The sequence below is a fragment of the Homo sapiens genome, chromosome 1 (assembly GCF_000001405.40).
Source record: "Homo sapiens chromosome 1, GRCh38.p14 Primary Assembly".
NCBI classification, from domain to species: Eukaryota; Metazoa; Chordata; class Mammalia; order Primates; family Hominidae; genus Homo; species Homo sapiens.
Window position 1 is genome coordinate 165,161,850 of NC_000001.11, and position 11,873 is coordinate 165,173,722.

At 43.1% G+C, this 11,873-nt stretch overlaps 1 annotated feature.

Annotated features, from left to right (window-relative positions):
• Positions 742-1,242: an enhancer, noted in NCBI's record as "H3K4me1 hESC enhancer chr1:165131828-165132328 (GRCh37/hg19 assembly coordinates)". NCBI's record gives its function as "activates a minimal SCP1, AML or CMV promoter by ChIP-STARR-seq in primed H9 embryonic stem cells {active_cell/tissue: H9 hESC(primed)}" and the evidence as "EXISTENCE:reporter gene assay evidence [ECO:0000049][PMID:30033119]".

Here is an 11,873-nt window from a genome sequence, read left to right on the forward strand (position 1 = left end):
AAAAAAGGAAAATACATGCACAGAGCGAAGGACACGTGAAGATGGAGGCAGAGACTGGAATAATGCAACCACAAACCAAGGAGCGCCTGGAGCCACCAGAAGCTGGACGAGGCAAGAAAAGATCCTTCCCTCGAACCTTCAGTCTCAGCCCCTGCCCACATCGCGATGTCAGAATGCTGCCGTCCACACGTGTGAGAGTTACATTTCTGTTGTAAGACACTGAGAGTGTGGCAATGCGTTGCAGCAGCCCCAAGAAACTAATACAACACCTTAGAATTTGTTTATTATATTAGCTTCTGCTGCTTTCCTGGACCTCAAAGCTCTGGGGCCTGGTCCCCCTCATATTTTATAGGGAAGGGAACAGGAGCAGGAGGAAATGTTGGACACAGGGAGAGTGAAGAGCAGACCCAGGGGGCACACTGATGTGGCAGAGGGGCCACATCAGAACACTCTGGGGGACAGGGGAATGTTGGCACTGGGGTGAGTAGGGCAAAGAGGAGTAGGAAGGGCCAGCAACAGGGCATTTGAGGGGTGATGATGGCCAACCCCAGAGACTGCACCCTGGCCTTGATGTTCTTGTGGTTTTATGTCACTGCAGGTTCCAGCCCACGGCTCAGAGAAGCAGACTGCTTCCCGGAAAGGGCTCCAGGTCTCCCCAAAGGAGCAGCCAGTCCAACATAACCTCTGCAGAGAAGGCTCTGGGCTGAACAAAAAGGTGGATTAAAAGCTTTCTCAGGTTGCATTTCTCTAAAGTGCAAGCTTGAAGAACCATCCGACTTGTGCTCCAAGGCAAATTCACAGCTGTTGGCTTCAGATGAAGAAGTCACAGGCAACCCAAACCTGGTTGGAAAGACAGTTTGCCTCTGATTTGTCACACAGGGAATGCTCCAGGGACCGGGAAGAAGTGTCTGAACTAGCAGGCTGGCGCACATCCAACTAGGAGTAGGAACACACACAAATCCCAGGCAGCTGACGGTTAAAATGTCTTGCCTGAATTCCTTTTCTTTGCCGAATTTGATGGCAGTGATCAAGCAGCCTCCTTGGGAAGCACCTTGAGGATACAGGGGGAAAGAAAGCTTCCTTTGGGGTTTCCAAAACACTCCCCTTTCATGCTTGTTTTCACTTAGTCATTGCCTCCCTCCTGGCCTCCGGCACCAGAGCCTGCATCCTGCCTGCCCCAGGTAACCGGAGCCCTGAGTGTGCACAAAGCACCACTATGCCAGAGTGATGTTATCAGGCAGGCTGGCCTGCTCCACACGGCAAGACAGCGGCTGAGCCAGGGTGGCCGGGCCCAAGCTGAAACAGGACTCCCATGCTGCTGAGCGAGGACAGAGTGGCCTTTGTGCGGGACAAATCATATTTAGGCCCATTCCTTATTAACATTGCAGTCATCAGAGCATTTTCTTTCCTGACTTCCAGCTCCAAAACCCTGCATAGGATTGTGTAGGATGTGGCTCAGCCCTGGAGTTGACATTGGGTGGAAAGGACGATGTGACTCTTCTCAGCTTCAATTTTTGGAGTCCATCAGAACACTGAGTGCACAATTATACATGAAGAGCAGCAAGCCTTGTGGCCAAACCACAAAACTTGACTGGAAGCTTGATATAGACTAGAAAAGATCTGGTCATCACAGAGAGAAATCATATCTTTTGCAGGAGTGAGAGCAGATTTGGGAACCATACAACCCTGGATATATATTTGCACCCTACCACAAACCTGCTGTGTGCCTTTGGGCAAGTCTCTTGACATCTCTGAGCTTCAGTGTTCTCATCTGTAAAATGCAGACAATAGTACCTACTTGCTAGTGTTGATGTGATGATTACAGACAGTAAATGCAGACAAATTAGCACATGGTAGATGCTCAAAAAATAGTAGCTTTAGTATTAAATGGATTTTCTGTGCCCTTTCCCACCGCCAAACTATTAGAATACATCTCAGTAGCCCTATCACATAGATTAATATACATCTTAAGGTCTTAACAATGTACAGTGTAGAATTTGGCCCAAATCAGAAGAAAATCAGCAAATAAACCGACAATAAATCAAAGCCAGACATGTAATACCATAGCCCTTTTAATGATACTAAACCACACCCATGTTTCATGAGCAGTGCCACATCCAGAAAGAATACTGCTGCACAAAAGCATGAGAATTTGCTCTTTGAGGTTTCCAATCTCCCACCTGCAACTCCATTGATGGCCCACATTGATTGTGCCCCTCCTTAGGCAAGGTCTGGTAGGGGGGCCCTGAAGATACAACCATCAGGGAGCTTAGTTTGGCCTGGAGTGAAATAAAGCAGGATAACAAACTGGCAAAGAGTTCAGCCGGGGAGAACAGACAGCCCCTGCCAATCCTTGCTTGTCACACTCACCAGCTGTGTGATTTGGGGCATGTCATGTTGCCCCTCTAGACCTCAGAGGCCTTATCAATAAAGTGGCAATAACAAAGCACCTCTCTCATGAATAGATGTAAGAATGCAAATGGCCTGGTACATAGATCGCAGGAAATATTTTCTGAACTAGTGACTTGCTGTTGAGAAGTTTAGGCTGGGAAGAAGAAATAAGCCAATGAAGGACATAATTGGAGGCAAGAGATGTTTTTGGCACCCTCTGATCACGCTGGGTAGGCAGGAGGCAGAGTGCTCCCCCAGAGACCTTCTGTGCACTTTGGAGAGGAAGATGAGGCCACGCCAAAGTTTGAATAAGTAGTGAAGGCACATTACACTGGAGAAAAGGCAATGGAAAGGAGGTGACATTTGTGTATTGCCTGGTATATTCAGGCCAGTGCTAGGGGCTTTACCTATGCTATAGTGTTTAAGTCTTACAACAACCCTATTAACCCTCTTAAACCCATATGGAAATTTGGGAAAACTGAGTTGCAGAGATATTAAGTAATATTAACAATTATTGAACATATATCGTGTGCTCTATTGATGATTTCATAATCATTTTCTTTTAAAGAGCCTAATGGCCCAATAAGTAAGATATTTCCATAAAAATCTAACATAAAGCACAAAAGGTTTAATAACCTGCCCTGGATTTTTCAGTTGATAAAGGAAGAGCCAAGATCCAAAATCAGAGACCGTCTGGCAGCAAATGCCAGGTGCTGCGAATCTCTCACCGCGCACCACCCATGAAACCACTGGTTCTCAATATTTGATGTGCATCAGAATTACTGGTTGAGTGTTTTGGAATCTCAGATGATCAGATCCATCAGACCTCCTCTAGAACTTACCACATCAGAGCCTCAGGGGTCTGGGCTCAAGTTAGTGTGTTTTGTAAATGTTTCATAGGGCATTTTGCACTTGACAAGTATGGAGAATCACTTCACAAACTATAAGGAGTTTTCGTACACTCTCTGGTTTTCTTATGCTCTGCTCTCGCCGGGCACATTCTGAGGAAAATGGTTCCCATACCTGTGGCCAGGGCAGACTTGCTTTGTCAAGCCTAGAGGCCACCTGGTAAGCATGGGAACTAGCCTAACTCTGGGAGAGGTCAGCTGGGCATCCTAGGCAGCTCACTGCTCCTTTTGTCTTAACTGTTACTTTCCTTGAAGAAATAACATAGCAAGAAGCAGATGGGGGTTGGTAGGAATCCTCCATGACTATTTTTTTATGTTCTTCTACAACTTTGCTTATTTGTTATTTGATTAAATAACAATATTGTTATTTAGTCAAAATCCTAGGGCAGATATTCCTTTATTCCATTTTTATCACAAGGTATGAATAGTTTCCTGTATTTTAATTTTTCCATGTCTTTTCATAAGCTTTATAATTATATATTTGTACTTGTAAAATATCTCTCTCAGTGGAAAGGCCATAATGTAGTTAACTTTTTCTCTATTGTTGGGCATGTGGGCTGTTCCTAATTTTTTAGTATTATGGATAATATTGACGTAAATAGCTACCCATGCAATTTCAATTCCTTCCTTCCCTCCTTGCTTCCTTCCCTTCTTCCTCCCTTTCTAGCAACCATCGACAACAGCTGCTTAACATCCACTATCAACAGGTTCTACACTAGACATTGGGTAAAAATCTGAAAAGGACCCAGCTCTAGCCTTAAAGAAGTTTATTGTCTGGGCCGGGTGTGATGGCTCACACCTGTAATCCCAGCACTTTGGGAGGCTGAGGCGGGCAGATCACTGGAGGTCAGGAGTTTGAGGCCAGCCTGCCCAACATAGTGAAACCCCGATTCTGCTAAAAAAGATACAAAAAGCAGCCAGGCATGGTGGCGCAGGCCTGTAGTCCCAGCTTCTCAGGAGGCTGAGGAAGAAGAATCACTTGAACCCGGGAGGCAGAGGTTGCAGTAAGTCGAGATTGTGCCACTGCGCTCCAGCCTGGGCGACTGAGCAAGACTCCATCTCAATTTAAAAAAAGTGTATTGTCTAAAGGAAAATGGAGAAAACAAGAAAATTTTAAAAGTACTTATATTAAAACACAATGAGTCTGCTAAAAGATGTTTGGTGAAACAAGGAGAGCTGGACAAGAAGGTCAGCACTAACCATTCCACCCAGAGTGTTGGTGGTAAGTGGGGCAGGGACAACTTCCCAAAGGAGGGAGCTTTGCAGCCAGGTCCTGGGAGAGCCTGTGATAAGGGAAAGTGGACTGAGTGATGGTTTGGGTTTGGTTTCATTTCAGATGAGCCTTTAGGCCACCTTTCCCACTCATGTTAGAAGTGATCCTCCTACTGGCAACGATTGTAGGCCAGCAGTTCCAAGTCCTCTGTGAGAAGAGCCTCCGTGTTCCCTTCACATCACACCTGAACAGAGACTCACCCACCGTCTCCTATGGCTGGGTTGAGCCCTTATGGCTGTTTGGATCCCCTTCTTGCTGTGAAGGATCCATGTATGCTTTTATAAAACTTTCTCATGGCTAAAATTCCCCGGGACATAGCTGGTTAGGACACTTAGAGAATTTCATCCTTCATTAAAGCTCAGCTCAAATCACATCTCCTCAGCCAAGCCTTCTTCAACCCCAGCAGACTATAATAACCCAGCGTCTACACAGTACACGTGGCCAGAGCAGACCCTGGTTGTCTAAGATTAAGTTTATTCACTTTAGAGGAGGTAGAGTGAAGGGGCTTTTTAAAAGAAAGACAAAATCATAGTACAGATGTGACAGAAAAGTAAATATTTACTTAGAACGAAAGAAAACGGTATTATGAAATTTTAAAAGCTGGCAAGTACAATAAACATCAGACAATTCAGAAAAAATGCATGTTTATGAATTAACTGCCTAATACACTTTTTGTATTTTTCTCTACAAAACCATGTACACAAAAAACGTTTTTAGCTACATACAATTTTGTGTGCATACATAGTTTTATAACATCTTCTACCAAAGATAATAAAAATATAATTTAGTCTTTCTTTTAGCTTTGTAAGTTAAAATTTGTTTGTTACTATTGAAACTTGGGATGCTTAAAATACGTAAACACACACAGATTTATTTCATTTTGTATAACAGCTGCAGATTTGTCTCTACAAACACAGATATCAAGAATTCTAATGAATTCTCTCTCATGTAATTCCCATTACACATATCCACATACAAACGCACATTCTACATAAGAATGTTTAGTGGGTGTGCATGTTTATATTTCATAATTATGTATTAAGTATTTTCCTGCCCTGGAAAAAAGTTCCATTTAGATTAAACAAAATTCTCCACGTACAATTTGATGTTTGAATGAATTGTCCAAAGACTAGCTTCTGGTTCCATTTATTTCAAATCGTGTTTGTTCTCATGACCTATATACTTCTGGTACCAGACATAACATGTCTGGCCCTGCTGCATCTTTTTTCCACCAGCGAATTGGAATTCTAGTGGTAGATGTATTCCTGGAAGCCATTTCTGTACCAGCTTGGCTAGCAGTAGCTTAACTATACAAATAAATTACTGTAAAAAACACAAATCCCAAAGTAGGTGTAATCCCAACTCAACTGCCCCTTCACCAAACCTCAAAATTGTTCTCAGCTCTTCCAGCACTACTTAGCACCAGGGGAAATGGGATGCAGAGATGGTCATAGTGGAAAGAAAGTGTCTTCACTAGTTGCTATTTAAATATCTTACTCATGAAAATTTTACAAAAAAAATCCATGACCACATGAACACTTTGTGAGGATCTATCCAAAGGTCGTTAAAATGGAAATAAGTGTCCTGAGATTTAACCTTCATCATAACTCTGCTTCTTTATCTTTTTTCGTTGCCCTATTAGATTGTTATTTGCCATTAACCTGCATGATGTCCTGTCTTTACCGCTTACTATCTATATGATTTGAGTCAAGTCTGTTAACCTTGCTGAGTTTCTGTTTGAAAAATCTGTAATATGGGGGTAAAATGAGAATGCCGTATTTGTTCCTGGGGCTTTTGGGAGAACGGTGTGAGGTAATGTAAGGTTCTCAGAAGTCAACAGATAGTCTCCATGACCATGGTGGATTTGGTGCTGACACAGCGATGGAGGTTATCCTCCATATGCTCATTGGTTATGACATGGGGACAAGGAATTGAACTGACATTGGATTTCTCTTAGACTCATAAGCAAATTTTTAGCAATGCTTATGAGGTGCTTTGAGGTCTGGCCCTGCCTACTTCTTTTAGTCTTGCCTCATCTCTCAACACCCCTACCCCATTCTCCAATACAACCCTTTCCATTGTAACTGCCAAGACATGTGGAATTTCTCCACCATGCAACCTTTCTCTGGCGTCTGAGTCTTTTCACATGCTGGTCGTTCTGTCTGGAAGACTCGTATCCCAATACTCCTCCCTTTGCTGACAGTCCTGCAGGATGCAGCTCAGCTGACACTTCTTCCAGGAAGTTGTGTCTGACGCCCTAGTCTGTACAAGGTGCCCTGCCCCCACAGCCATGTGTCTGCACTGCCTCCTGCTCTTCCTTTTATCACTGCACTTAACACACTGGATTGTAATTGCCTGTTCACTCATCTGTCTCCCTTCAACTAGTCTGTGGGCTCCTTCTGGACCCACAGTACTTAGTACACTGACTGGCAAACACTGGTGTTCAATAACTATTTGACAATTAATACATTCATTGAAAAGAGAAAAAAGGTCAACTCTCCAATCCCTTGGTGGATCTGGAAGAGGCAGCATAAAGGTGGGAAGCCTGTGGGATTGATCTTTGGGCAGTTGGCTGGCTCAAGAGAGAGGCAAACTTTCTCCTATCAAATGACAGAGGGTGAAAGACTCCCTGCCTGAGGGCACCTCTTCAAGAGGCATGAAGACCATTTGCTGAAGTCATTGACTCCAGACCTCAAAGGGCTTGCAGAGGTTGCTGGACTGAATGAAGGAAACTTGTACAGGTCAGGGAGGCTTCCTTGATAACACAGGTCTCCCTGGCTGCCAGGTAACCAGCCACATAAAGGAGTCACAGGTAGCTGTAAGAGGTGTGGTATTCACTCAATGGCTAGCCCTGGGGCTACTCTGATGAGGAAGAATGACTCTGCACAGGAACTCCTTCTGCACAGGGGCACAGGAATAGAAGTGAAGGGGAAAAATGGGTCATTAATCAGAAGACAATAGCCTGAGATCAGCCTTCTTTCAACTTCGGAAAACATCTCTAAGGTTCAGAATACAGGCCACAAATCAACCTGTCCCATGGAAAAGTGTCTAACCTGTGACTAGACAATGTCCTATTCTCCTCTGCAGTAAGTACAACCAAATCTGGAAGCTTCTTAGATCTTAGGATTTTTTTTTTCTTTTTCTTTTTCTTTTTCTTTTTTTAGACAGAGTCTTAACTCTGTCACCCAGGCTGGAGTGCAGTGGCGTGATCTCAGCTCACTGCAACCTCCGCCTCTCAGGTTCAAGTGATTCTCCTGCCTCAGCCTCCCGAGTATCTGGGATTACAGGGGCCCGCCATCACACCCGGCTAATTTTTGTATTTTTAGTAGAGAAGGTGTTTCAGCATGTTGGTCAGGCTGGTCTCGAACTCCTGACCTTAAGCAATCCACCCACCTTGGCCTCCCAGAGTGCTGGGATTACAGGCATGAGCCACCGCATCTGGTGGGATTTTTTTTTTTCTTAAGCTGCAATAGGGAGGCCACTTTACCCACGCCTAATTGTCCATTGTAGTCTGAAATTCCACAATTACACATGCATTCCTTCAGCTTAGTAGTTTTTTTTTCCTATTAGAATGCAAACATACCTGGCAGCCTGTGCATTGGACCATATCAGCCATTTTCACTGTATATCAGTTTATATAATTTTCTCCTAGCCTCAGTATTTCTTATCTGAGTTGTGGAGTTAAGAGTACTCTGAAGAGAATTCCAAGTCCCAAAATCAATGTCACCTCCTTCTCAATTTTTCTAAGTACTTTTGGCCCTGTCTCAACTGGCATCCATTTTAAATATCAGCAATCCTGATATTCTTCACCACGGATCCTTCTTTATTTTTTCTTTGTCTGCATTTTCTACCTTTCTCCCTCCATTATTTCTCTTCTTTCATTCAATTTCTTCTGTTTCTCTTTTTATCCCATCAACCCCAAGCCTGAGGGAGTATCCATATGTATGTTCACGGGCATTCTGTAACACAGATGCAGTGTGGTATATGAGAGACAGCAAAAAGGCTTCAAAGCCAGAAAGGTCTGGCTTTAAATATTGCTTCTATTGTTTAGGAGCTGTGTGACTTTGGATAAGTCACTAGTCTTATTTTTCTCCTTTGGAAATGGGGAATAAACTATACCAAGCCAGCAGGACTTCCTGTGCGAAGGTTGCAGGGAGCTGTGAAGATTAAATGTTTCACCAATGTGTTTGGGTTCCACTAACCCTTTCCCCTTCCCTTTCCATCTCCTTCTGGGTCTGACAGGAGCATCCAGTGAGCCCCATGAGCATTGCTTAGCTCTGTGGCCTGGAGATAATTAATCTCCCTCGCAGGCCTATCTTACTCTTTGTCCTTTTTAATTTTCCCTGGCTTTAATTTTCTCCTCATAATTGTGTTCTCAATTAAGTTGCAGTGAGGCTGCAACATGGTAGCCTGATCTTGAAAATACAGATGGTATTTCCGATCAATTTGCCAAAGTTGAATGGAAATCCTGAAACTTTAGAGCAATGCTTCTGAAAGTGTGATATTAAGTTTAGCTGTATCAGAATCTCTAGAAGTGTTAAAACTGCAGATTCCTGGGCCCTGTCTCAGAGCTCCTAAACGGGATCTCTGGGAACATGGCTTGGAATCCACATGTTTGCCAAGCACTCCAGGTGATCCTCATATACTTCAAGGTTTGAGAACTATTGCTCTACAGGTTAAGCTTAAGACCTAAACTGACTATTGAAGGAAAGGACAAGAATGTTCAGCCTTTATTGACCATTCATAGCAGTAGGATGACCTCTCTTCACTGGCCATCGAGACCCAAGGAAATGACTTGCCTGAATCCTCATAGCTGGTTAGTAGTAGAGGCAGAAAGAAACCCAGGTTGGAAGCTTCCAGGTCCAGCTCTCTCTCAACTGCCCTCAAACCTTCCCTCCAAAGAGTTCTTATCACCTAACAAAGAACTCACCAGAATCCTATAATCTGCAGGCAGAAGAGTAAAATAAATGTGTGTGTGTGTGTGACAGAGACAAAGACAGAGACAGAGAGATAGCCCTCTCTTCCTTCCTGTGTTCATTACATTTTCCCTTATTTTCAAATTCATCATTGAGCTTAGAGGCCTGATATGTTTTTTTTTAATTCCTGACAATACAGCTTCACGTGAGTATAATCATAATTAAATTCCATTACAGGGAAGGAATTTAGATGACTAATGGCATTTTTTTTTAATCCTGAGATTTGATCTATATGTCCATTTAGGTATCTTTTGTGCTTCCTTATAGTTAGGAACTGTTCTATCAAGTTTCATGCTTCCTCTTGATAAAAGATGTTTGGACCAAGGTAGTCATTTAAAACATTAGCTATTATCTGACAGAGAAATGAATTTAATGATGCTTCAGGAAGAGTGTAGCTGAAAGAGCAGTGGTCTGAACATCAGCAGATTTGAGGTTCCAGCCCAAAGAATGAGCTGTGGAACCCTGGGTGAATGACTTACCCTCCCCAGGCTTCAGTTTCCTCATTGAAGCAATAATAATAAGAAAATGTGAGTGTTTCTCAGGCTGCAGAGCCATATTCCTTGATGTGCTCACTGAGGGCAAACGCTGCAGTTACGCCACATCCTCCCAGAGCGTCTTGGCACATACTCTTATAATAAAGGCTCTGAGTGGTTCTAAAGTCAAGAATCAAGTTTAATTTCTCTCAATACAGCTTTCCCCAAGCCCCTTTCATTTTCCCATTCAAAAAGTATTTATTGAGCACCTACTTTGTACCAGGCAGTTTCAGGAGTCAGGATTCAGCAGGGAACAAAACACAGAAATCTCTTCCTGGAAGGAATTTACATCTAACTGGGGGAGACATAACACAAGCAAAATAAAAAATTAAAATAGATAGTATATTAAATGATGAAAAAGGTTGTGAAATACAATTAATTAGGCAAGAATATTGGACTAAAAGAAAGAGATGAGTGACTAATATTCTTTAAGAATAATTCTTATGAATATCTCTGGACCTGACTTTGTGTAAAAATACAACCTGGGAAATTATGTACTAGAATGTGTCTAAAAGGCTGTCTACTCCTAAAAACATCTGCTTGCCTGTGAATGATCACACCAGGGATCTTGCTGGTAAGTTGGGAGGTAGTTTGTCTTTGGCATCAAAACTGGCCATGCAGTCAAATCACTCCCATAATGTTACAAGCTAGTATAATTCAGTCCACTCATCCTTTGTTTGCCTAGTGCTAAGGTAGATGCTATTAGGAGACACTATAGTAGAAACCATTTCCCTTGTCCCAAGCAGCTGAGGGTCTTGCTGGATAAAATGACTGAGAAGATAATTCTTGGTCAATGTCTTCAGTGCAGTGGATGCAGTGAAATCTATTAGAGAATCATGAGGTTCGTCATCTAGTGCCCTTCATCCCTAGTAGATGACTTTGCATTGTCACCACCAAACTGGGCCTCAGTTTTGCTAGACTTCAAATGTGCATGGTAGCCTATGACCTCCAAATTTGCTTGTATTGGTGAAATGTTATGTTATAACATTCTTTGTAAGAGAGAGATTTATTCATTCGCTTAACAAACATCTATTGAACTCCCAGTGGTATTTGACCCTGGAGCCAAGATAAATAATCCAAAAATCCTTTTCTGAAAAAAAAAAATTTTTTTCATTTGGCTCCCATTTGGCTAATGTTTACTGAGCATTCACTATTTGCAAAGAACTAGTCTGAATGCTTTTTATATATAATCACAACCCTTTTATGAGCTGTATTGTAGGAGGCAGAATGACTCCTACAAGATGAGCCTCAGTAACTTTCACCTTTGTATAACGTCCATCTGTTGAATGTGGATGGAAGCTGTGAATTTGATGAGATGTCACCCTGTGGTTATGTTCTGTTCACTGGCAAAAGGGATTTTGCAGATGTAATCAAGGTCCCTAAATAGTTGGCCTTAAGAAAGGGAGATTCTCTTGGGTGAGCCTGACCTATTCAGATGAGACCCTAAAAGGGACTGGGCTCTTCCTAAAAAGACTCACAGCATGAGAGAGATTTGATGGAAGGAGATTCTCCATGGCTGGCTTTGAAGATGGAGGGGACCACACAGTGAGGGATGGTGAGCAGCATCAAGGAGCTGAGAGCAACTCCTGGCCAGCAGCCAGCAGGCAGGCAAGGACCTGAGCCCTAGAGCTCAAGGACTCGAACTCTGCCAACAACCTGAATGATCCTGGACACAGGTTGTTCCTTAATAATGCCTTCAGGTGAGAACACACCCTGGCTGACACCGTGATTGCAGCTTTGTGAGATCCTGAGCAGAGAACCCAGTCATACCATGCCCAGGCTTCTGACTTGC